At 36.6% G+C, this 27,727-nt stretch overlaps 2 long non-coding RNA genes across 2 annotated transcripts in view; one reads left to right on the top strand and one right to left on the bottom strand.

The window, feature by feature from the left end:
- Positions 1-1,851: 1,851 nt before the first annotated feature.
- LOC105376642 (uncharacterized) lies at positions 1,852-9,971 on the bottom strand. The gene is made up of 5 exons (XR_931222.3): positions 9,755-9,971; positions 8,052-8,109; positions 6,037-6,134; positions 5,421-5,482; positions 1,852-1,936 (listed from the first exon to the last, which is right to left on the bottom strand). It is a non-coding gene; the product is annotated as an uncharacterized LOC105376642 (long non-coding RNA).
- Positions 9,972-10,092: 121 nt separating this feature from the next.
- The window catches only part of LINC02740 (long intergenic non-protein coding RNA 2740), a 65,948-nt gene continuing 48,313 nt past the window's right edge, over positions 10,093-27,727 (top strand). Inside the window, exons 1-4 of the long non-coding RNA NR_038309.1 lie at positions 10,093-10,169; positions 22,665-22,735; positions 23,957-24,073; positions 25,624-25,690. This is a non-coding gene — a long non-coding RNA (long intergenic non-protein coding RNA 2740). The remainder of the gene's footprint in view (positions 10,170-22,664; positions 22,736-23,956; positions 24,074-25,623; positions 25,691-27,727) is intronic.

Below are 27,727 nucleotides of genomic sequence, written 5' to 3'. Positions count from 1 at the left end.
ACTGCGTATAGAGAGCACATATTATGTGGTAGATACTGATGGGTGCAATAAGTTGATGATGGCATGGTTTCCTATTCCAGAGAAACTAAAATTTTCTGCAAGTAGTCGCAATGTGGATCTAGATGTCCTGTTTACTTAACTATTTCCCATGAATGGTGTCAAGTAGTTATAGCTGAAGTAATTATATGTTAATTCATAGTCTTTGACCCATGAACCGTAGAGGGTCATTATGCAAAAGGAAAAATAGCATCTAAAATGTGTAATGCTCTAAGTTAAACAAGTGTCTAATAAATGAAAGTAATTCTGTATTTCCAACTGAAGTAATTAGCTGTCTGAAAAGTCTGTAATTAGTGTATCATTTGAATTTAGAATTAATATTGCAGACATTAAATTACTGCTTATTTCAGATGAATTTTAGTGGCTAAATCAAATGCAATTGAATGCAGTTGGATATTCTCAATGCACTATATTGTTTTTATTAATGAAAATTAATTTAAACTTGGATTGTATAATTTGTCTGTGTATACAAAGTTAAATTTATAATTGCTATTAAACACTAACTCAAGAAGCATCACAAATGCAAAAGTTTAAGTGAATTTCATTTATACAGTCACCAAAAGAGAAGCATTCATGTATTTTAAATATGTATAAATATTTCCGGCATTTATGATCTGTTATATGTGGAGATCATTCATATTTACTGTTAGTTACTGACGACATTCATTTCCTGGGAGTTGATTTTTCTAACATAAAAGTGTTTGGAATTCTGCCCTAGTCTAAGAAGTCAGTGAATCCTGAATTGACTTATTTGCTTTGTGGATTTTATAATATTAAAGTAATTTTTCCCCCACAGGTTACTATATTGGAACTAAATTGTGAGTGAGTATGTGTGTGTGCATGCTCACAAAAATCATTGCATATATTTGGTTTATATTTTATGATGACAAATTCTTTTACCACCCACAAAAGGTCAAGTATAATTTAGGGCTGTATTAATAAAAGCCACTGATTAACTTTGGAATCAGGCCATTCTGGAAACCAAGACATTGACTACACCTTTTGTTAAAATTTCTATCTGTAACAAACTAAAGTGGTTTTTTAAGGATCTTAACTCTGTAGAGAGATTAAAAATATGTCTTACTCTGGAATGGCTCATGATTATGTTTGTCTTAGTTCTGATCTCTCATGTATCTCTGAACCGTGTCCTGGTTTGAAATAATCTTTTGATACCTCTTTCAGCACTCTTTCCCAGTCCTAAATGATACAACCCCTTACTAATACCAATGTTAATATGTCAATTTCACGTTATTCTTTGTCTCCCTCTGTAACTTTTCAAAGCTGAGATATTCTGGTATAGAAATAATGAACTACATTTTTATTAGTTATTTTGCTGTTTATGTTATTTGCTACCACACTGATTTATATAAATGTTAAAATCTTTCCAGTTGTTAACATTTTCTTTTTATAGCTTTGGCAACTGCTTGGGGAGTCCTTGTCTCTCTGAGCTCTGCAATGGACGGCCATCGTATTATAGCCACTCACTTTCTGGAAACAAACAATTTATTATCTAAATGCTAGTAATTTTTTTATTATTTAGAAGTGCTATATGGATTACTTTTTTGTGTTATCAGATTGTAGCCATCCCCAGGGTTGATATCTAGAGTTTATCTATCTTCTAATTAATTTGAGCTTTGTGGTGTAACAATCTTATATATATATTCATGCATATTCACAAACTAACCCATGACAAATGGCCATTCTCTACTGAAACATAATAACTTATGGGAATATCTTTTTATCAAAGATTAAGTTAGAAGAAATTAAAGAGCACTAAAATCTTTTGAGTGTTTATGGTTTTACAGACACTGTGTTAACTTACACAATTTTACATTTTTTTTTAGAACAAACCTATGAGGTAGCTGTCATTGAATTCATTCTGCAAGTGAAAAAAAAAAACAGCAGCTTAGAGAGGTAAAAACTGATCACGTTTTCCAAGATTTTACATTATAGACTAAAAATGAATATCCCAAACTGACTAATCCCAAAGCTTATGATCTTTCCAAAACATTATATTATGGATAAGGGCAGGATTATTGAGTCTCATTGTTGTAAATACCTTGAAGGAAAGGGATATGGGAGTTTAGAAAGACAGTTCCCAGTGTTAACAAATCACACGCTTAGAAGGGAATTTTGGAGGCCATTCCTTTCACTTCTAGTAGGAACTCAGTAAATGACCTGAAGTGGCTGAAAATGAATCTTATTTATAAATATCTCCTGAAAGGGGATTTGATGGCATCTTCTTGGCAATATATCCCATTGCGGGAAAATCCCTGTTTTATCAAATCTGCAATTAATCTGTCAACAGGATTCTATTAAGTGCTGACTCTATGCCAGGCTCTATATATGCAGTACCTCTAATATCTTTCTTCAAAAATAATTCAGCACAGTTAGGCTTACAAGGCAAACAAATACAGTGAGAACTAGTGATTCGGTATAAACAGTAAGTCTCAAATAAGCAATAAAGGATTTCAGAAGATGAAGAGCTACCTGTGGAGTAGATGAATCTTAGGGGAATTTTAGAAATGATAGTTTAAAATGAGATTTAAGAGAGACACATGAATTTCTTTCTGCAAATTCAAAGGCAATTCCTTTGAATATAAGACACAGTCTGCCATGCATAACAGTACTTGCTAGTATAGAAATCACTGGCCACTGGGATGTATTTTCCTAGACTGTGGGGCTCTAATACCTGCCTGAGTTTAACTTTTGGAACCACCCTTAACTATCCTGGAAACTAGAGCAAATTATATAAGAACTCTGTGCTTTAGCTTCCTTTTCTGTAAAATTGGGTCTGTACACCACCTTTCTGGTATCAATGTTGTAAAGATTAAATCAGTTATTATATGCGAAGTGTTTACAACAGTACTTGGCACATGGCAAGAGCTCAATAAATTTTGATGATGATCATCATCATTAGGAGGGAGGAGGGGGATGAAAAGAAGGAGAAGAAAAGGAGGAGGAGGAAGAGGAGAAGGAGAAGGAGGAAGAAGATGCTAGAACCTATTAGAATCCTGTACAGTTGGGCACTGCCACCTCTTCCTCATGACCAGTGGGATCTGTACATACTTCAAAAGTCTCTACCCTGCATCACTTGCCTGGGTGAAAGCAGAGAGGGGTTCACTATATCAATCCTTAACACAGTGGAGAATTGCAATGCAGTCTCTTTACTAATTTCACTGTGTGCCATATTAGTCAACATCCGTGGGTCTCTGCTGCCTGATTTTTATTCAATAATCTGCAAGCTGTTTCTGAATCTGAATCCATCATCTTATCTATGCTAGCTTCTTTTCCAGGGACTCATATTCTGGGTTTGATTACTCTCACATGAATTACTATCAAATGATAATTTTGATTCTTATTCAATACCAAGATTTGCTGCTTAAAACCCCAGTGCGGCACTCTGTAGATCACCCAGCTTCCACCCAAACCAGACTTTCCTGTACAGTTCTCCAGACTGAATGTTATTTTATACCATGCCCTAGAGATTGCAATTTTTGACTTAGATTTTGTTATATCTAAGGTTTGAACTTGATGGATGGGGTCAACCCTGTGGTCAAAGTTGGTCTTTCTCTGCCCTTCCCAATGACCCTTACTTAATCCGTTTAGCATAGGATCAGCATTATTGGCAAAGTGTCTGGCTTGTAGTAAAATTGAACTTATTCCTTACCCTGATAAGATTTGACTATATTTTGAGTGGTGATTATTAGGCCACAACAGTCCTTGTGTCAAACAAAATTATGTGGAGGTGGCACATCTATCATTGTATGACAGGTAGAATAAGTATGTTGTTGAGTTATGATAAGCTATTACTTCAGAGTTGAAGTATCTTGTTAGGTAGGTTTACAAAGGAGAATATTCCAACAGAGTTAAGGTTAACAGTTGTGAGTCTTGCTCAAGCAGTAAGTACACATCTTTTGCTTTTACCTAGTTTCACATTCATATTTTCTTGGCATAGAAAAGGAAACCTGCCTATACTTTGTATTACTTTCAGATGGGTTACAGACCTTTTATGTGATTTGGGCAAAAAATGTAGTTTTCTCTTTACCTATGTACAACACAATATTTATATAACTCAGATCCAAAATTATTGGAAATACTCTTATGTGTTTGGAATTCAGCAGTGCCAATTGGCATTGTTGTCAAGAAAATGTTGGAAGGTTCACAAGGAGAAAATGAGGATGTAAATCATACAACCAAGAACAAATATCTTCATCCTAGGAGGACATGTTTTACTTGTAAGCTGCCTCCTCCCAACTATCTCTTGATATCCTGATTGGGTATTATGGAATGTGAGTTGTTGTGGTAATGGAAATTGTTGGACATAAAAAGAGTGTTAAACTAGGAGAAAATTGTGATATGCTGTGTGTGTGTGTGTGTGTGTGTGTATAATCTGACACATTTGAATATGTGAGCTCTCATAGAGCTTGCACCTAAGATGACAGCTAATGTCATAAAGTAATCATTACTTCTCACTGATACTGAAGTCACTATTCTCTATTTTCTTTGTGCCTGGTGGATGCCTGTTTTTTGCACATTGTTGTAATACTCTAGGGAAATTTGAATACAATTGGGAAGTTAAATAATAGCTAAGGGAGTTAAAATAGTGCCCTCCTTTATGATCATTTGTTAACAGGATCTTACTTCTTTTTCTCAAAAAAGTTGCTGATACACTTTTGCTTGAAGTTAGTTTTCCAGAAGCAGACTCTATGATTAGGATTTGTGACAATTGATTTATTTTAAAAAAATCATACACCCAGGACAAACCTTTAAGATACTAAGGTAAGCTGGGCAAGGAAGAAAATCATAAGTTCTGGCCTCAAATGGATCCTGAAGGGGAGTTCTGGAATGTAAATCACTCTGAAGAATTTTTCCTAAGTCAAGAAGAGCTGAGCTTCATAAGCTTACATCCATCAGTCATTGTCTATGGGATACCTCAGGGGGACTTCAACTCCTAGCCCTTTTTGCCAAATGGTACCAGTAGTGCAAGGGCAGATTCTGTTACAAAGCATTACAGTAACACCCCACTGGATGCAAAGCACACACAGAATCCTGCCAAGGGAAGCACAGACACAGAAAAGGAACTGAAAGAATTGCTAGAGGCTTATAGGTGTTTCTCTGCTATTTGTACATAAAACCAGGGAGCGGGCCACAGCATCTGAGGGAGACAACGTATAATAAATTAAAGTTTAAAGATAGGAAGGATTCTGGTCTCTGGGCTCTTTCATTACTAGCTGGCATTGCCATCTATTGGTTTAGAAGACTTCCATTGCTAAAAATAATGTTAGGAAAAAAGAAGATTCCTTTGTCTCAGTAGTTGGTGGAAAGATACTTTAGGTTCAACAGTCTTCCTGCAAAAATACCTCTTAAGTCAGCTCCAGATTGTGATTCACCTCCTTTATTCAATTTTCACAGGCTTCACTTTCTGTAATAAATGAATAGTTTAGTTTTCTTGCTTATGTGAATAATGACTGTCCTCAGGGAGAATTGGGTAAAGAAAGGATAAGTTCACTTAGGAGAATGGCTCTTTCTACTCTCTAACTACAGTTCTCATTCTCCTTTTATTGAACAGATGTTCATTGCTTGCTATTAGTGCCAGGACCAGTGCTTAGGGCAAACAATACAAAGATGAATAAGACTTGATCTTTGGCCTAATGAAGCTTATTGGAGAAAACAGACACTGTAAGAAATAGTTACAGCAGTGTTTCCTCATCTGCAATGTGTAAATATTAGTTACCCACTCTATTACTCTATTAGTTATCTGTTTTTGCATTATAAATTACCATACCATTCTCACAGTTTCTGTGGGTCAGGAATTTATACAGGGCACAGGAGGGATGCTCCATGGTTTCTAGGGTCTCAGCTGCAGAACTCCAAGGCTGAGACGCTAGTATCTGAAGGCTCATTGGTACACATGCCTGAAGTTGACGTTGTTTGCTGGCTGGGGCCTCAGCTGGAGCTGTTGGCTGAAATACTCACATGTGGCCTCTGCATGTGGCCTGAGCTTTCTCACAACATGGTGGCTGGGTTCCAAGAGTGAGCATCCCAAATGAGAGATAACTATCTTATAATGCTGACTGTGGAGATTAAATGACTTAATCAACAAAAGTGCTAAGATCATCATCAGGCACATAGCTATTATTATTTAATAGTATTATTAATAGTAAACATGCATGCAGAATATATTAGTAATAATATTTTATATAGACCCAGGGTAATGTAATTCCAATGCACCCTTTCAAGGGGACACTTATCACCCTTTTTGGACACCATCCAAGCAAATCAGTTGTTTATTTGGAAGCTGCATTCCTATTCTTTGCTAGGGGTTCACAAGCTTCAGTGAGATATTTAAGCTGACATTTTAAAATTTGAACAGTATATTCCAAAGGGTCATCATAATTTTTGACTTGCAGTGAAAGAAGGCTGCCAGGAAGGATGATCAAGAGCTCTGTCATAATCAGAGAAAAAAGATACTTTGGGAAGGCTTGGAACTATGTCTCCAAGTGTTAATGTGGTGATTGGATCATAGAGGTGCACTAATGCCTTCACTTGATAGCACTTTTTAGTTGTATTTGTGATTATCATTTTATTATTCTTTGTAAGGAAGTTGTTATGGAAGGATATATGAATAATTCTTATTTAATTGGAGGTTTTGTGTGTATAGTAGTAGTAAAGAGAAATATAGTCAGAAAAGAGAAGAGGGAAGTTAGAAGAGATACCATTTGATATCATCCGTTAAATTTTACGTGCATATTATGACTTAATTTAAATGACCAATCCCTTTCCAAAGGGCTCTTACGGTGACTAGACTGTATTTTCTGTACTGTTTGCTAAGAAAGACAGTATAGCTTATAGTGATTCTGATGAGAAAACCCCTTTTCTCCTGAAAAAAATCTGAAGTCATCAGGATGTCTTTTTATCTTTGTATAATATATTATGCTAATATTCATCTTAGTGATTGTCTTCCTTCAGAGTACAGATTAGAGCCCGAATTACTTTAAAATGTCACTCACTTCATCTTGCACTATTTCTTGTCACCCCTCCCTGTCCCCAATACTCAAGCCATGTTTGACTTCTCTTTTTTTTTTTTTTTTTCTTTTTTGAGGCAGAGTCTCACACTGTCGCCCAGGGGCTGAAGTGCAGTGGCGCGATCTCTGCTCACTGCAACCTCTGCCTCCCAGGTTCATGCTATTCTCCTGCCTCAGCCTCCCGAGTAGCTAGGATTACAGGCGCCGGCCACCATGCCCGGCTAATTTTTTGCATTTTTAGTAGAGACGGGGTTTCACCATGTTAGTCAGGAGCCATGATTGACTTCTTACAGGCCCTGGATAAACCACATAATTTAACACTTATGTACTTGTATATATACTTGTTGTTCCTTTTTACTGGAAATTCTCCTCCCTATTTTCCACATTTCAAAATGAATTCCTCCTTTTATTTTGAAAATCTCTTCCTTTTCTTGTCTCTACATAGAATCTCACTTCCTCCTTTGTGCTCCCATGACATTGAGCATGCACCACCATTCTTGTAGGACACATGCTCTTTTACTGTTGCTTGCCTTCGGTATGGTCTGTTCTCCTCCTTGGGTACTGACTGTCTCTGAAGCAGGGACTATTTTGTGCTCATGTTTGTTTTTTTAGTGTCTGTGACTTGGCCTTGTGCATGTTAGATAAAATGCCTAGTGAATGAATAACTTGAATTTATAAACAACTCTACTCAAGCCTTGTATGAAATCTACTTCTCTCTGCATAATCCAACCTTACTTCTACAGTATGATTATGGAGTTTTTGTTTTGTTTCTGTTTTTCATTTATCTACTACTGTGTGACAGAATGCCCCCAAACTCAGCAGCTTAAAGCAAAAACAATCATTTCTTTATTTATCTCTGATAGGTTTGGGGATTTACTGATTTCAGTCAGGTGGTTCTTAATCAGCATCACACAGTTAAGAGATTATGGCTTGGTCAGAAATCATCATGAAAACTTCTTTACTCACCTGCTTAACAATTGACACTGGCTGTTATCTGAGATCTCAGCTGGGGCTGTTGGAACACCTACATAGAATTGTTTTCAAACATAATGTAGGGAGTTACTGAAAAGCAGCTAAAGTCACCTACTATTCTTATATCATGCTTACATAGGCCTATGAGGGTTTGATCATGTTGTTCCTTCTACATCTAAAGTAATTCTCATTTCTCTTCTATCTAATTATAAATCAACTCATCCTTTAATTTTAGTTTTCCTGATCAATCATTCATTATTCTTTTCATCTTTTATTTTGTTTTACCCAGAATCTTATTTATGAGAAAGGACATATAACAAAATCCATCAGACTTTTATGATAAAATGCTCAACAAACTAGGAGTAGAGATAACTTCCTCAACCTGATAAAAGTCATTTATGAAGAATCAACAACCACAATCATATTCAATGGTTAAAGACTGAAAGCTCTCCCGCTAACATCAGGAGAAAGAAAAGTTAGAATGCTAACTTTGATCCTTCTGTTTAACACTGTACTGGAAGTTCTCAGTGAAGCAATTAGCAAAAATAAATAAATAATGTCCAAATTAAAAAGGAAGAGGTAAAACTATCTCTATTTACAGATTACAAAATCCCAGATATAGAAAATTCACAATGGATAGCACTTCACACCTACTAGAATTTTAAAAAATGAAAAAAAAAAGTGTTGGCAAGGATAGGGTGAAAGTAGAACAGTTGTACATTGCTGGCGGGAATGTAACATGATATCCACTGTAGAACATGGTTCAGCAATCATCTAAAAAATTTAAACATAGAGTTACCATATGACACAGCAATTTCAATCCTAGGTAGGTATATATACCCTCCCAAAACTGAAAACAAATAATTTCACATCAATGTTCATAACACTGCTATTCATAATAACCAAAGGTAGAAAAACCCAAATGTCGATCAATGGATAAACACAAAAAATGTGTTTTTTTTGTATTTTTATATATATGGAAAGAAATATAAATTATATATGCATTTTATATATGTGCTTTATTTATATTATAAATGTGTATATGTGTATATATGTGTATATGTGTACAAAATATCACATATTGTATGTTTTTATTTATATAAAATATTGATAATAGGTAACTTCATATAGACAGAAAAGAGAGGTTGAGTGTTATATTAGTTCATTTTCATGCTGCTGATAAAGACATACCTGAGACTGGGTAATTTACAAAAGAACTAGGTTTAATTGCACTTACAGTTCCACGTGGCTGCAGAAGCCTCATAATCATGGTGGAAGGCAAGAAAGAGCAAGTCACATCTTACATGGATGGCAACAGGCAAAGTGATGGGGTTTTGTCATGTTGACCAGGCTGATCTTGAACTCTGGCCTCAAGTGATCTGCCTGCCTTAGCCTCCCAAAGTGCTGTGATTACAGGCTTTAGCCACCTCACCTGACCAGAAAATGGTTCTTTAAGATAGCAATAACATATAACAAGTGATGGCTGTTTTTTCCTGGAGTTTTTGCCCTCTGGCTCTCTGCTAATAACCCTGTAAACCTTACCCTGTGAGCTCGTTCAGCTCTGTACTACTACATATGCCATGTCTCACATTGTCTCTTTCTGAATAGCATGACCATATAATGTATTATCCCTGCTGAGATAATTTTGAGAGTAAAGGGACTTTCTTATTAAGCAAACTTGGACAATAGACATAAACCTGGACTATTCTGGGCAAACTGGAATATGAGGTCTTCTGGTTTTGAAGATGTGGACAAGGATTGTATCAAGGTTTTCATTGATCTAATTTTACAAAAGCCAGTAGTTCTGAACTTGTGACTCCCATGGGGAGGCAGTCAAGTTCAGGTTTTAAGACCTGAATCACAGGATTTGATTCAAAAGGCTTGTGATTCCTGCTGCATTGTCAGGAGTTCCGAAAATTTGCCGTTGGTCAAAACCAGGCTCAGTATCCAGGTTACTGGCAACAGAATGCCCTACTGATTGTGATGTTGCACATTGAATGCAGATTTTTTTTTTCCTCAGATGATCACACCCACTTTGCTTCACTTTCATGTCCAGAGCTGCTTAGACTGATTTCTGCAAAGTGCACAGGCATTTTCATGCTGAGGATAAAGGTATTTTGGTATTTAGACAGGTACTTAGACAAAAATTAGCTGGGTGTGGTGGTGCACACGTGTATTCCCAGCTACTCGGGAGGCTGAGGCTGGAGAATCACTTGAAACCAGGAGGTGGAGGTTGTGGTGAGCCAAGATCACGCCACTGCACTCCAGCCTGGCAACAGAGCAAGACTCTGTCTAAAAAAATAAAAAATAAAAAGAATAAGGAAATATGCCTAAAAATGACATGCACAAATTAGTTCCCCTTTTAGTCATCTCACTTCCTTATCTGTAAAAATAGAAAACTATAGCTACAAGTCTTTGGTAAGCATCAAAGGAAACCATGTAGGTAGAATTGGGTGTAATGCTAATTATTTTACAATCAGATCTATCAGATTGGGCTGGATAAAATATTCCCTCTGCCATTCACAAAGTATGTTACTTTATATACATTATCTCACTAATGTTAGGTTAAATTCTTCCTTCTTCCTTCTTTAAACAGTGACAGCTGCTAAAAAGGGTTGGAAGAAAATTTCTTAAAGCTTACATAGCAGAATAAATGTCTGGGAATAGGTAAGAGAAGGAGTTGGGGGGAAAATAAAAGATTAGTGAGAGGTATTTGTCATCTAGCTATTAATACATTATCAAGCCTTGTGATAGTCAATGTGCTATTGGTAGAGGGATAGATCAACATGTCACCGGAACCTGAAAGATAATTCAGATCATGTATCTGTGTATATAAGAAGGTAGTATATGTAAAATTAAGAGTCCAGTCAAATAAGTGGGATAGGATGCAATATTTAGTAAGTGGTGATGACATACTGGATAAAAATAAAATTCAACATCGATTTTAATGTATACAAAATAAATTCCAAAAGGAATAAAAAATTAAAAGAACAAAAGAGCAACAAAAAACTTGCAAGAAAATCTAGTAGAAATTAACCAAATCTGCATACTCTGGAGTAATAAGATTAAAGATAAAGATGAAAAATTAAGAATAATTTAATGAGGAAAAATTTTCATATATAAAGACAGTAGTCAAAGATTTGGAACAAATATATTTCTGATAACAAAAATATTTTACCTATCATATACAAATAGTTCCTATAAACTGACAAAAAGATAGCCAAATAGAAAAATAGATAAAATATATCAATAGGAAAATCCTTAAAAAAAACCTAATGACATATAAATATAGACAAGGTATTCAAAAATCAGTTAAAGTATAGCCAACTTCAAAAAGAATCATAATATCTATTTCTGTTATGATTGTAAGAAAAAATATTTTCACACACTGCTAAAATAAGTTAGAGTCTTTTCATCCTTCAGGAAAGCAAACTGGCAAGGTCTATCAGATTTTATATTGGATACATGTCTTAGTCAATTTGTGCTGTTATAACAGAACACCTCAGACTGAGTCACTTATAAAGAATATAAATTTATTTTCCCACGGTTCTGGTGGTTGGGAAGTCCCAGAACAATGTATTAATACCAGCAGGTTTGGTTGCCTGGTGAGGGCTCATTCTCTGCTTCCAAGATGCTGCCTTGACACTTTATCCTCTGGAGGGTAGGAACACTGTGTCTTCACTTGGCAAAATGCAGAAGGGCAAACGATAGCCTAATGCTATGTGGGGCTTATAAGGGTTTTAATCCCATCAATGAAGGAGGAACAACCATGACCTCTTACAGGCACCAGCTTTTAATATTAACACATTGGCAATACCTGATTTTGGAGGGCACATATTCAAACTATAGCCATACTCATCTTGACCCAACAATCCCATTTCTGTAAATCTATTGCAAATAAACAAATCTACAGTATGTAAAGACACATTTATAAGCATATTTATTATACCATTGTTTATAGTGGAAACAAAGCAGAATAAAGTGAATGCCTATCAATAGAGGAATGCAATAATGAATTCATTGGGAAATATTTAGCCAATAAAATAGATTAATTTGAGATATATTATTTAGATTTGGAGAAATTTCCATAAGATAGCATTGAGAAAAACAATGTAATATTAAACTATATAAACTATGATTCTATTTTCATAAAAAAGATAAAAAATTCATATGTATGCATATGTGTTTATGTACTATATTTTATTGAACCTAAGGTATCATTGATTGCAAAACCCACTATCATTTCATATAAGAAAACATGCTGAGATTAAACCATAACAGAAGGTTTTCACTGGGGGGTGGAGGGGGACAGGGTCCTGCTTTGTCACCCAGTGTGGAGTGCAGTGGTGCAATCATGGCTCACTGCAGCCTTCATTTCCTGGGCTCGAGCAATCCTCCTATTTCAGCCTCTCGAGTAGCTTGGACCACAGGCATGCACCAGCATGCCCATCTAATTTTTGTAGTTTTTGTAGAGATGGGGTTTCACCATATTGCCCAGGCTGGTCTTGAACTGGAAGACTTTTTTATAACTTAAAAAATTAACTCTCATTTGAAGTGCTCATTTAGATTCTACTAAGTATCGAAGCTTATCTTATATAACTTTATTCATACCTAAAAATGAACATGTAAAAAAAATTGATCAAATTTCATTAAAACTTATTCATATCCATGGCAGAACTCTTCTGAGTCCCTTTTCAGCTTGATGTCCTAGATATTTTAGGTTTCTATAGAATGTCTTCTGAAATCAAGATCACTGAGGTGTCTTTATTTTTATTTTTTTTATTTTTTGAGATGGGCTCTCACTCTATCACCCAGGCTGGAGTGCAGTGGCGTGATCTAGGCTCACTGCAACCTCTGCCTCCTGAGTTCAAGCAATTCTCCTGCCTCAGCCTCTCAAGTAGCTGGGACTACAGGCATGTGCCACCACACCCGGCGAATTTTTTATATTTTTAGTAGAGACGAGGTTTCACTCCGTTAGCCAGGATGGTCTCAATCTCCTGACCTCGTGATCATCCTGTCTCGGCCTCCCAAAATGCTGGGATTACAAGTGTGAGCTACCGTGCCTGGCCCACTGATGTTTCTTAAATGAGAATTCCAGCTGTGTCTACAGGCTTTAAAGATGTACAGGCATATGTATGTAATCATATGATCATGGAAAAAACTATGGTATATAAGCCTAACATGCGGTATCTATTATGGGGATGGTATATCTAAAAGAAAAAACATATTGCACTTAAAACACACAGTCATAATATGTATAATATGATACCTTTTTGCATGACTATGATACTGTATTTGTGTATTCATAGATACAGATTTTTAAAACATATTCTTATGCAAGGAAGGAAAAAGTGTCGGTGAATGACTTCATATTTCTATTGTGACTTCTATGTGCTCTGCACGGTTGCTGGAGTTCAGAAAACATTGGAAAGAGTTAAATGAGAATGCATATGAGGTAGTTACGATAACTATTAGTGTTATTATATCATAGTGTATGACAAGTAAGATAATGTTTATCATATTGTGTATTGTTTTCCTTTCCTTCCTAGACACTTTTCCATTCCTACACCATTTCTCATAGGATTGCTGATAACATTGCTGGTATTCAAAATTGGTTGACTGAATGATGAATAACAGAAGTTGGCTGCAATTAACATTTCCTAGGGTGAACTTTGTAAAATGTCAGTCATTCAAGATATTCAGTGGAAAAATGGTTCCATGAATTTAGCTTGAGGAAAACTATAAAATTACAATTTTTTTCTGAAGATTCAGATTGATTTATGGAATCTGCAGTAAAAGATTTTGTTGTACTGGTTGTTTTCTATAACACTTGATGGAGGAAATTGTGTTGTGTGTGTAAAACATATTATCATCCTCTAGAATTTGTGTTCTACGGAGCAAAGAGAAAGTGGTTTAGAAACACTTGTTTTGATTACTAACAGGAACTGAAAAGGTGTGGACACATCACTTCATACATCTCTAGCGCAGACAGCTATAATTTCTTTTGATATTTTAGCACAATGATTTAGGAGGGAATTAGTGTACATTCTTAAAAAGCAGCTTTTTCTCCTTTGTTTCGTCTTGACATAGGGAACATAGTAATTGAAAAAAATGGAGACCATGATGTCAGTAATAAGGAATGCATGCATTTATATCCATGCTACAAAGCCCTAACATGAATTTCTGCTGTTACTTTTATTATTTTTAAGAAGACTCAGAGATTCATTTGGTGATCCTGGGAAGAGTGAATTGTATTGCAGACCCGGCATGAATGACCCTCTCAGGAAAACATCTTTAGTGGTTTTAAAGTCTCGACCTTTTAAAAGACAATTAAGCTCTATTGGAAAGAAGGAATAGTATAATCATCCTTTGTAATAAAGAATGAAAAGTTTCCAGAGATAAGGTAGAGGAAATACTGGGAACTTTTCACAAATGGGCGTGTCTTAATTCAGAGGTCTATGTCCACTGGAAGCCGTCAAGCTCTCTTGACTGAGAAAGGGAGTAGAAGGCACTACTTTGCTTTTGAATTGAGGGCAGGATATGGAGGCCACATTAGACATAACTCCTAGGGAGACTTAGGTGGATAGCTGTGTTGAGGATGAAAATTGGAGTTGAAGTACTGAGCAGATTTCCATGCTCAGTCTCAAATGATTGACATCACTTTTCTTCAATGTTCAGGAGGTCTAATCTAAAAAGACTGACATTTTGTTTGTTTGTCTGTTTGTTTTTGAGATGGAGTCTCACTCTTGTCACCCAGGCTGGAGTGCAATACCGGGATCTCGGTTCACTGCAACCTCCGCCTCCCGGGTTCAAACAATTCTCATGCGTCAGCCTTTTGAGTAGCTGGGATTACAGGTGCCTGCCACCATGCCCAGCTAATTTTTGTACTTTTAGTAGAGATGTGGTTTTGCCATGTTGGCCAGGCTGGCCTTGAACTCCTGACCTCAGGTGATCCTCCCGCCTCGGCCTCCCAAAGTGCTGGGATTACAGGCGTGAGCCACTGCACCTGGCCAAAGACTGACTTTTAATGGCAATGATGTGGCAGGAAGAGAAACAGAAGCAATAACAAATCAGTAAAACACTTATAGTCCAGGACTTTCCCTGTTTTGTCCTAGGAATAGAATCCATTTTGCATAAATCTTTATTTTTTGATTTTTTGGTTTGTTTTCTCAACAACAGTGGTGAGAAGTCCAGTCCCCTCTAAAAGAACAGTACTGAACTTGCTACTATTCCAGTTGAGGTTTTGACCTTTTAATAATCAGCTTTAGTAATAAAGGGCATGAGATATACTTCTACTCCATATATAGTATAGTATTTCATATAGAAGTAGTTCTCATAGTGGTTTTAGACTGAAATGACCTAGGCAAATGGATTAAAATCGGACTCCTCAGGCTTTTTTTTTTTTTTTATCTCCTAGAAATGCTAATTCAATAGAGGGTAGAAAATCTCATTTTACTTTATTTTATTTTTATTTTATTTTATTTTAGACAGGGTCTCACTCTGTCACCCAGGCTGGAGTGTAGTGGCATGATCTCGGCTCACTGCAACCTCTGCCTCCTGGGCTTAAATGATTCTTGTGCCTCAGCCTTCTGAGTAGCTGGAATTGCAGGCACGCACCACCACATCTGGCTAGTTTTTGTGTTTTTAATAGAGACGAAGTTTCACCATGTTGCACAGGATGGTCTGGAACTACTTAACTCAGGCGGTCCACCCACCTCGGCCTCCCAAAGTGCTGGGATTATAGGCGTGAGCCACCGTGCCTGGCCAGAATCTTTATTTTTTAATAAGCTTCCATGATGAGGATGAAGTAGTCGATCAGGGGACAGAATTTAGAAAAGACAGTTGATATGGTTTGTATTTGTGTCTCTGTCCAAATCTCATGTTGAATTCTAATTCCCGGTGTTGGAGGAGGGGCCTGATGCAAGATGATCAGATCATGATGGCAGATTTCCGCTTTGCTGTTCTCATGATAAGGAGTGAGTTCTTATGAGATCTGGTTGTTTAAAAGTGTGTAGCACCTTCCCCTTCTCTCTCTCTCTTCCTTCATTTCCCGCCATGTGAGAATGAGACTTGCCTGCTTTCCCTTGGCCTTCCGCAATGATTGTAAGTTTCCTGAGGCCTCCTCAGCCATGCTTTCTATACAGCCTGTGGAACTGTGAGTCAATTAAACCTCTTCTTCTTTATAAATTACCCAGTCTCAGGCAGTTCTTTATAGCAATGTGAGAACGTACTAATACAACAGCTCTACACCATTAATTGTTTGAAATGGGGGTATAAATGGAACATGGTGATTCTTCCTAATTACTTTTGCAAGCCTAATGGTGATAAACCTGAGATGTAAAAAGTTAGAGGGAATCCTATGGTTTCTGAAATGAGTGATTACCATTATCATATGTAATATTAGACTATATTCAAAGTTAAGATTATCGTGTTTTCTAGAGAGTGTAAAATTATCTATGAAACCAGTCTAAGTTGAAAAAAGATTGAGAAGCAATTAATAAGTAATTAGTTGTTTATCTTTAATATGTCTGGACTGAGAGGAATCCAAGTATAGCGAAAATAATTAGACTTCAAAATAAAAAAGGCTTGAGTTCATGTTACGACTCCAACACTTCCTACATATGTGATCATAGACAAATTACTTCACCTCCTTGAATTTGGTTTGCACATTTGTAAAATGAAGAAGACAAGATCTACCTACAGAGGCTGCTGTGAGGATTGTATAAAACTAAGTGATGCCGCAAATGCCAAGAAATTGAATCTTTCTTGTTTATTACTGAACCCCCAACCCAAGCACCATGCTGAGCGTGTAATAGGGGCTGAAAACCTCCACCTTCTAATTAATATAATTTAGAGGTAGAAGATTGTACTTTCAGCTATCAAAACAGCATCAATTTCACTCTGTAATTAAATGTTTTCTCCTTCTCTGGTTTGAAGATACCATAATATTTTTTTTTTAATTTCTGTATGTGCTCTCTTAACCACTTACCCATTTATCCATGGAGCATAAACACAGTCAAGTAAATGTTAAAATGTAAACCTCTGTAGTACTAAAGAGAATTATGTCACTCATGTTTTCAGCTTAATGTGCACGTTTTTCTGCTTAATAATGAAATGGAAATTGAAATGAAAATTACCAAAACAAAATCAATGCTTCTTCCCCTTCGTCCCCACTCTCTGTAAACCACGGTTCAATATATACATATCAATTGAACAGTGGTGTATGTAAATATATATACTTATATTTTATATATATATATATATAAATACACACACACACATGAATAAATAAATACTTCAGGTTAATACCATTCTTTAGTAATTGGGATCAGAAAGCTAACAGAAAATAATTAAAATAATTGCTTCCTTGCTTTTTCCTGCCTTGGAAATTGACATATCAATATGACTAAAATATTAGGGAAATCCCAGAATGTGAAGAGAAAACACTGACAGTTTTTAACTCGATATGTATATCTGTGTGCATATCTATGTCATTATCTATACAAATAACATCTATATATTTTGAGTTAGAGATTTAAATACTCTTTAATAATAACAGTAGCTAATACGAGTATTTAATATTGAATAACATTAAGGACAATTGTAGGCCCTAAAAATCTATGAATATCAGTACTTTTGTGTGTTTTTAGTGGTACTAAACACAAAGTTTCCTTAGATTCTTTAACCTTTAGTTAGGTTAGAGCATTATGTTTAGGTAAGAGTTTTTATGGATTCTATGTTTCCTTCAACCACTTACACATAGTTAACGCTCTGAAAACAAATTTTTAAAAATAGGGGAAAAAGAACAGTTAATGGCTATAAATGGTTCTCAAAAAATTGTTCAGCTTTTTAGTTATGTCACTTGAGTAAATCATGTTATCACCTTATCTCTTTGAGACTTAGTTCCTTTATCTACTTATGTTTACCTAAAATAATGCTATCTGTGTTATTCTAATGTTAAACCAGTTCACTTAAAATCATCAGATTTTAATTGAGCCTTAAAAATATCTCAAGCTCTAAACTATGGGTGACAAATATATGGATTAGAAATTCTCTACACACTAGGTGCTAAAAACTGTTTGTGTGAGTAGTAAATTAGTAGAAGCACAGAAGATATGAGGAGTGGTGTCTGTTTTAGTATAAGTTACAAAATAGGACAAAAAAAATCCCCTTTTATTGATCCTGGCACAATGAAACTGCATCTCCTTTTGTGTCTCCAATTATATATATATATATCTCTCTCATACACACACACACACACACACACACACACACACACACAGTTTTTAGCATCCAGTGTGTAGAGAATTTCTAATCCATATATTTGTCACCCATAGTTTAGTGCTTGAGACATTTTTAAGGCTCAATGAAAATCTGATGATTTTAAGTGACCTGGGTTGACAGAATAACACAGATAACATTATTTTATGTAAACATAAGTAGATAAAAGAACTAAATCCCAATAAGATAAGGTGATAACATGATTTACTCAAATAACTTAACTAAAAAAAAAATCTGGGTGTCAGAGGGGAGTTATCTATACCTGGAATTTATTGGAATCTCAAACTGAACCTTCCAGATCTACATAGTGGGCACCTGAGAAGTAGCTTTCTCTCAAAATTGAAGCCCTTGCTTATAGAGGAAAGAGTTTGGGCTTTTGAGTCAGACACGGGTTCTGGGACTCACTGCAGTATTTACTCTCTGTAGGATATTGGGTAAGTATCTTAGCCAATTTGATTTCTAGCTTCCTCAACTAGAAAATAGGGCTAACGATATTTCATAGATGTGTTGGGCAGATTAAATAAGCTAATGTATGTATTTTACTATTTTCCCGAGTCATCGCAGTAGGTATGCAGAAAAGAAATAGCATTTCTAAATTAAAAGTTCTTTAGGCTTAACAAAACCATACCATTTAGTAACAAATTCTTCCAGTTAGGCTTACTGAGAAGCCTCAAGTTAGAATGCTAGAGACCATTTGCCCTGAAATTAAAAAGCATCTTCTATTTCCAAAAGGATGGGCAATCCCTCATTCTCAAACTTCCATTCAACTGCCCATTATCTGCCAATTAACATAGGCCCTGGGGGTCAGAGCCCATCTAATCTGCCTGGTTTTACTGCTGCTTACACCCATGATTCCCAAGGTGTGTGCTGAGGCACATTGAGATGCTACACCAAATTCCAGGGACACACTGGGACATTTTAACTTGTTAGGAAAACCAAGTGATACTCATTTCTGACAGGCACAGTGTGAATTGCTAGTTTGCTTTACATTCGCTTCAATGCTGTCATATCTTTGGGAAGCTGAGTTTTCAGCAGTTGCTGGGATAAAAATGAAACCCCATGTTTCAATGTGAAACAGGAAATGAGGAGGGCAGTGTCTGACCTCATTGCAAGCTTTGAAAAGGTGGGCAGTGCCCCACACGTGCATACCTCCCATTAGCAATCACCACTTGTGGTCATTTAAGAAAGAAGAACATCACTTTTTCTTGGAAATTATATGCATTACTTTTTCAGAGAGCTATAAGTTGTTAAGAAACAAATACTTGTTAAGTTTTTTGGATAAAACTACCTAATAAATGAAACAGTTGTGTATTTAACATGATTCTTCACATGTAATTTGTGACCTACCCACACCAAAATCTCCTGGAAAACTTATGAATACTCCTGAAACTTAATTTCTGAAATCTACTTTATAAATAAATCATCTAGTTATTCTTATATATGTTAACATTGAAAAACCACTCACCTAAATTCACATTTTTGTTCAACATTCCAGGTTATATCGTATTTACTTTTCAGCCAAAACTCTTTTCTTTGAAGTACCTGTTTGCATTTTTAGACCTCAATACCACCTACAGCTGAAGAAATACCACCCGGCCCTGTTTCACCTTTTGTCTTTAAAGCAATAGGAGCCACAGAAAAATAACCAGGAGGCTAAAGGCTGGAAGTCTAGTCCTCCCTGTTATCATTGTTTATGGGAACAGCCAGGTAGTATTGATTTGTCACCTGGTGATGTTAATTACCAGCCAAGCATTCAGATTGTTACTTTTTTCTCCGCTCTCAGCTTGATCCCTGAAGTTTCAGCATGGAGTTGGGAAACGTTTAATGGAAAGTTAATCAGCCAAATCCTCCCAGTTTAGAAGTTACTCTCTGGCCCTGGCCCATGCTTAGAACACTGGGGTGTCCATGTAAGGTGGGGAAGCAATTATTTACTGAATGCTTCCCAGAGGGCCCCAAAGGGGTAATGACCCTCAACAGGGGCCTTCTGGAGTCCCTTAGAGCCACTTATTTACCACAGAGAGAATGTCCTGACTCATTATGTTTTTAAAGATTTGTTTATTTTTGTCAAGGAGAGAAACAAATAAGCAAAGAGGTGCTTGCTTCTGAGGTGCCAACAAGGAACATTTTTGTTTGTTTTTTAAGTAGCAGCATCCTCTCTGTATTAGAAGATGTGTGTGAGAGAGACTCCGGTAATCTAGATTTGATTTGCATGTTAACTTTTCTGCTTTCAATCAATAACTGCTTAATAAAGTCTCTGGCTAAGCATCCTGAAATCGATTTTCTAAGATAATTTGCATTTAATAATTTGAAGTGCTTTGCACAACAGCCAATATTTAAGGGGAAGAAACAGAAGGTGGTGTGATTGCCATACAGAGAAGGCTCAAGCTGTGTTGTGGATAATGGTGGTCTCTGTTGGAGATGACAGAGTTCACAGGTCTGGGTCATTAGGCTACTGGGAGACGGTTTCACATGGTGAGAAGAGTTAAGCTCTGGGGGCTACCTGGTCTTGAGATCCCCCTCTGTTCTCAGACACATCAGACACATCAATTTTCCTCCATTTACCTTAGAATCTTGTATCTATAAATTAGACATAATACCCACTACACAAGGTGTTGATTCTTTTCTGAATATTCCAAAATATATCCGTATCCCCCATCCCAGATAATTTACCTTCTTTATTGTGGACCACCCTTATTTCTTACTGAGGAATCCTTTGTTTCTGGCCCTCACTTACTTCTTGCAGTTGTACCCTTCCTCAATCCATTTTCAATGCTATAACAGAATATAATTTTGGAAAATTAAAAATATATATATATATATATATATATATATATATATATATATATATATATATTTGTACTTTCCTGGCTCAAAAGCTTGTAATAGTTTTTCTGTACCTTAGGATTATGGGACTGCTGTGAGTCCAGTCCCTGCCAGCCTAATCTCTCACAGCTCCTCACGTAAGCTCTACCTTCCATCCCCACCAACATTCTGTGTCTTTCTCAGGTTTGCCAATCAAACCTCTAAGACAAGCATTCACATTAGCTGTTTTCTGTTTCTGGAAATCTCATCTACTGCTTGTCATCTGAGTATTTGCTTCTCATTATTTTGGGTTCAGAATAAAATTACTTCTTTCAAAAATTGTATCTTGTCCATGGAGATTTTAAGTGTTCTTTCACGGACTCCTATATTCTTTTACAGAGAGTTTCTCAATATAATTTCTACGTTAGACCTCCCCAGGCAGCACTGTAATTATCTTTCTTACACTCCGTGAAGTCTGGGACCAGCTCTGTGTTGTGCTTAATAAAAGACAGATTTGGTCAGAATTTTTATCTGTAAATAGGGGCTACATTTCAGTAAGATTGTTGTATGAAATAAATAAGTTACTAAATGAAACATATCTGCAACAGACACTCAATAAATTTGTTTCCCATATATACTTGCAATGTGGGTTATCAGCTTATGTTTGAGCAATTCATTCACTCATTCAACAAATGTATGAAGTGCCAGCGTATATTAGGTACTGTTTCAGGCCCTGGAGACCCAGAAACAAGAAAACACACCTTTCTTCCAAGAGAATCATATAATAGTAGAATGTGTATACACCAGGAGTTTGAGTCTTTGTGGCTGATTTTTGTCAAGTTGTATGAACTACCTTTTGGCATTGAGGAAGCTAAATTTCACAGTTAAATATGGTCCTGAAATTAAAATATCTACTTGGGAACATAGCCACATTATCAGATATGTTGAATCTTCCTGAAAACCCTTTGGACCATGTCTTACCAAATCAATGAGTACAATCAAAATTGGGCTGAGAAACATGTGCGAGTTCTGTCAGGAGAACTGGCCTATCTGTAAAGGGCCCGTGCATTCTGATTGACTCTCTTGTGTTGGGTATATGTTATGCACTGAATATTTGTGTCCCTCCGAAATTCATATATTGAAATCCTAACCCCCAATGTGCTGGTATTAGGAGGTGGGGACTTTGGGAGTTAGTTCATTAATGAAGGTGGAACACTAATGAATTAGATTAGGTCTTTATTAGAAGAGACAGGAGAAGATGCTCTTTGTCTCTGCTCGCTGCCATGTGAGGCCACAATGAGAAGATGGGCATTTGCAAACCAGGAAGCCACCCTGCAACAGACACCAGATCTGCTGGCACCTTTATCTTGGACTTCCAGCCTCCACAACTGTGAGAAATTACATTTCTGTTGTTTAAACTACCCAGTCTGTGACTATTTGTTAAAGCAGCTCAAACTAAGACACTATACATTGAGAAATAGAAGAAGGAAAAGGAAAACAGAGATGCAATTCTGTTCTTTGTAGGACCATGATCGCTTGTCTGGACCCAGAAAATATTTCCCATTTGCTACACAGATGCCGTCTCATCCTTCCAGGTGGGTAATGATCACTGATTTTCTTCCTGTGATTCACATTCAGAGAATGGAATTATCACTTAATCCACAAGGTTTAATAACTCCTGGGTACTAGTTACTGTGACAGGGGCTGGAGGTAACTGGTGAATAAGACCACGCAGGTTTTTTTCCTTCATAAAGCTTTCAGTTCAACACAAGATGCTAACATTTTAAAAGATAAGTTATATAATAACTAAAACTATAATAAATGCAGTGGCAGAAAACTGCAAGGTGCTAAGAAAAAACAAAACACACACATAATCACAATCTCACGTATTCTGTGTAAAGAAAGACTGATGTATTTATTTGAGGAACCTCATTTAAGAGGTGAAAGTAAATGTTGAAAAACATTACACTGGCAACAGAAGTGTTAGAGACTGGGAGACTATGCAGTAGAGACATTACAGTCAATGGTTCATAAACTAGAAAAAGCCGGAAGGATTTGAGAAACAAAAAAATAAGGCCAGGGTGTCATAAGGGTAGAGACAAATTAGGAAATTGGTTCAGATGAGGCCGGCAAGAAAGGCAGGAGTCAGCTCATGCTGAGCTAGGTCACGTTCATTTTTTTAGGCACTATGCTAAGTGCTTTACAGACACTACCCAATTTAATTATCATAGCACCTTGTACGTATTAATATCATTCTCTGACAGTTGAAGGAACCAAAATTGGGACAACTAATGTGACTTGTCTGAGGTCTTTCCGCTAGGAAATGAGAGACTGGAATTCAAATCAAAGCCTACCTGACTGTGAAATCTATAATAATAATAATTAATATTAAACTGTATTATACTGCCTCCATGCATATCAGACATTAATGGTTTTCACTTGTTCTCAATTTAGCTCCAAGAAGCCAAGGAAAGAACATTCTTTATCCATTCCTCTATCTCACAGACCTCTGCTTTCTCTTCCTTTACCTTATGTGGCTTATTAGAAGGGGCTGCTCTGGAAATGTACAGGAGGGGCATGTCTTCTCTGCCATGAACTTGAATGTCTAGTGCTCCTGAGCCCAAGTGTTCAGGGACAGGATGGGCATTTCACAAGGACAGCAGTCCCACCCACCCCCAGAGACATTGCCATCATTTGAGATTGCAAATTTATGTGTTACGTCTCCCAGAAATGGAATGACTTTGTGTTTTAACACCTCACTGAGGACACTCCATCTGCGTTCCTTTTATATGTTCAAACACAATTTTCTTTTTCAGAGTTCAAGACTTCAGCAGAAAAAAAAATCACCTCATTAAAGGAAAATTGTGCCTTATCCCCACTACTCGAAGATGCAACCATCTGCCTGGTCACAGCCACTTTTTTCCTTTTTTTCTGTAAGTACAGGATCCAACATTTGCACAAATTAAAAAAGCCGCATCTAGAATAATAATTTCTCTAGGCTCAGCAAGACTATTCCTCACTGCATTTGTGTTTGAAATTGCAGTCAAACAGTGAATGAACGTCCCCCTTCCCTCTGACACAGCCGCTGCAGATTGTGAATTATGGCTGAATACCAAAGTGTTATTTAATGCAGCTGGGAAGGAAAGGTGTGAATGATCGCCCATTACCACTTTATACCCAGAGATCAGTCTCCAAGTTCAAGGCTTTTCTCTTAGCCATGCCAGAAAAAATTACACAGGCCGCTACTAGCTTTTATAACTCCCTTAGGCAATGCTGGAGCCATAAACATGATGAGAATGAAGTCTTGCCATGTGTATCTAACAGCGCCAAGGAGAGTGGCTACCTCAGTGCTGACTCAGCCCTTGGCTCATGTTAAAGGTTTAACACATTACCTAGTTGTCTCTTTGGGGATCTCATTCCAGGCAGGGTCAGACTGTGTGTGCATGGTTACTAGTCTCCAGATACATCCGTTATATAACCGAGCTCTCCTGCTGTCATTCTGAGAGGGAAAGAAAGCTTTGCACTAAGCTCAAATGCCAATGATGTGGGGCTCATTTCCATGGTCTCTGAGCAAGTAGGTGTCCTCCATAGGCTAAGACTTACATACCTTCCACACTCAAATTCACCTTCTATGAGGTTCCCATCTCCAATTTGTTGTGGTCTTCAATTTAATCATCTACAATCATCTATGATGCTGGCCAGTACCACATGGCCTCACCATCCATAGCTGATTGGTCCACAAATGGACACTTACCCCAAAGAAAGTCAGTCTGCAGGTCCATGGAGGTGAGCTGTAAAGAAAGCTCTGCCCAACAAGTCCAATGGACACTTGGTGGATCAATCCTCTTCCTGGAGGAATTATATCTTGAAATATATAAAGATAGTTTGGAGATTGGTAGAAGGGCCACAAGTAGATGTGCCAAGATACGTAATGAATAGCCTACTTGGGATAATGACAGAGCACCAGAGTGGGCATTGGCAAACTCTTTCTATGCAGGTAAAGAAGAGCCAGTGAGGTCAAAAGATATATATAGAATACAGACTAACCTTTCAGTTGCTAAGCTAGGTTTTTCTCTTTAACTTTTTACTATACATCCTTTCCTGTTTATTGTTTTTATAATTCTGATTATGCATCTTTTCTTGTGATTTTCTTACGATTTTGTAGGCTTATAGCTGTGTAACCATCTTCATTTTGATGTGGCCTGGAAGCACAGCTAAGGTCTTAATTATTTCTACAAGATGCCTGCAGTAATTTAGCTGTAAAGTATTTGTTACCATTCAATAAATATTCATTGCTTGGGTTACTCGAGTAACTCTTAATTTTTTGCAACCAAAACAATCTAATTAACCCCAGAAAAAATAAGTGAGAGGATGTAGCCAAACATAACATACCTAGCATAGTGCTTTCACCAAATGGTCTTTAGTATGGAATTCCCATGTGATGTTTTTTCACTTATGACCCGCTTTATTTTTCTTGTAACAGCACTCCATCGTATGTGTGTGTGGTGGGGCAGGGGATAAGGGGAATAATCTCTCTCCAGTATAAGAAGGTAAGTGACTCTACTGGCAAATAGGATTTCTCTACTCTTACATATTTCTAGTGAATCGAGGGACTGAACAAAGCCTGGCACTGGGAAAGACAAACACACAGCTATAAGAAAATCATTATGTGAAACAATACATTATAGCAGAATGATCCCTGACTTAGGAATGGAACGTGGATGATAGGGGGATTAGTAATTCTAGATCCAGCTTGGATTCCTTCTTGTCTCTGTGACTCATCTCACATGGGCAGGTCTCTGGTATAAAGGAAAAAGCTCTCTAATTAGGAGCCCTAGAAGCTCTTCTGTGAGAACACCCTGTAAAAAAAGAGAAAGTGTGAAACAAAATTATTTTCATACTATGGGGAGGGAGGAGAGCCCTGGAGGCTTAGAAGAGATATGTAGTAGCCTAAAAAAAGTCAAGGCCCTGGAGAATTTTGCAATGTATGACCATGAACTGACACCTCTAGGCAGTAGAGCAATAGAGTAATGTGGGAGGGAGGGTGTCATAGACAGAAAAATATCACCCAAAGATATCAGAACCTAATGGCTAGAAACTGGAAATGCTAATTTATATGTAAAAAGGGTATTTTTTTGAGGTTCTTCAAAAAGTTAAATGTAGAACTACCATGATGATTCAACAACCTCACTTCTAGGTATATAGCCAAAGAGATGGAATTAGTATGTCTGAGAGATATCTGCACTCTCATGTTTATTGCAGCACTATTTACAAAAGCCAACATATATAATCAACCTAAGTGTCTAACAGATCAATGGATAAAGAAAATATTGTATATATACACAATGGAATACTATTAAGCCATAAAAAAATTCTGTATTTGTGGCAACATGGATGAACTGGAGGATATTATTTTAAGTGAAATGTGCCAGGAACATAGACAAATATCACATGATCTTGCTTATATGTGAAATCAGAAGAAGCTGCTCTCATTGAAGTTGAGAGTAGAATAGTGGTTGTCAGAGACTGGGGAGGATGGGGGGAAAGAAGGAATAAGGCAAGATTGGCCAAGGAGAACAAGGTTCCAGTGAGATAGGAGGAATAAATTCTGGTATTTCACTGCAGAGTAGTATGACTGTAGTTTGTGATTATACTGTATTGTGTATTTCAAAATAGCTAGAAGAGAAGATTTTGAATGTTTTCCCAATAAAGAAATGATTAATGTATGAGGTAATAGATATCTCAAATACTCTGGTTTTTACACAATGTATTCATGTATTAAAACATCACACTATACTTTATACATATATACAGTTATTAAATGTCAAAACCAAATTTTTAAAAAGGTACATGAAAAGGTCTTTGATTAATTGGTATGCATATATGGGTTGATAGGAGAAATGAAACCTAGTGTTAGATAGATCAGTTGGATGACAATAGTTTATGGTAATGTATTATACATTTCAAAATAGGTAGAAGAGAATAATTTCAATGTTTCTAGCATAAAGACAAACATTTAAGGTAATGGATATCTCAAGTACATTGATTTGATCTTTACAGATGATATGAATGTTTTAAATTATCACATGTACCCCAAAACTATATGCATCTGTTATGCATTAACTATTTTTAAAATTTTCACTTTTATTTTTTATATTTTCTAACTTTTAACCTGAGGGGTACACGTGCAGATTTGTTACACAGGTAAACTTGTGTCATATGAGATTGTTGTACAACTAATTTCATCACCCACGTATTATGCCTAGTACCCATTACTTATTCTTCCTGATCCTCTTCCTCCTTCCATCCTCCACCCTCTGATAGGCCTCAGTGTGTTTTGTTGCCCTCTATGTGTCCATGTATTCTCATCACTTAGCTTCCACTTTTAAGTGAAAACATGCAGTCTTTGTTTTTTTTTTTTTTGTTCCTGTGTTAGTTTGCTAAGGATAATGGCCTCCAGCTCCATCCATATCCCTGCAGAGGACATGATCTCATTCTTTGTTATGGCTGCATAGTATTCCATGAGTATATGTATCATATTTTCTTCATCCAGTCTATCACTGATGAGTATTTAGGTTGATTCCATA

This window comes from Homo sapiens, chromosome 11 (genome assembly GCF_000001405.40).
Source record: "Homo sapiens chromosome 11, GRCh38.p14 Primary Assembly".
Classification (NCBI taxonomy): domain Eukaryota; kingdom Metazoa; phylum Chordata; class Mammalia; order Primates; family Hominidae; genus Homo; species Homo sapiens.
Note: the sequence above shows the minus strand (reverse complement) of the source record. Positions and strands in the feature narration are given on the sequence as shown.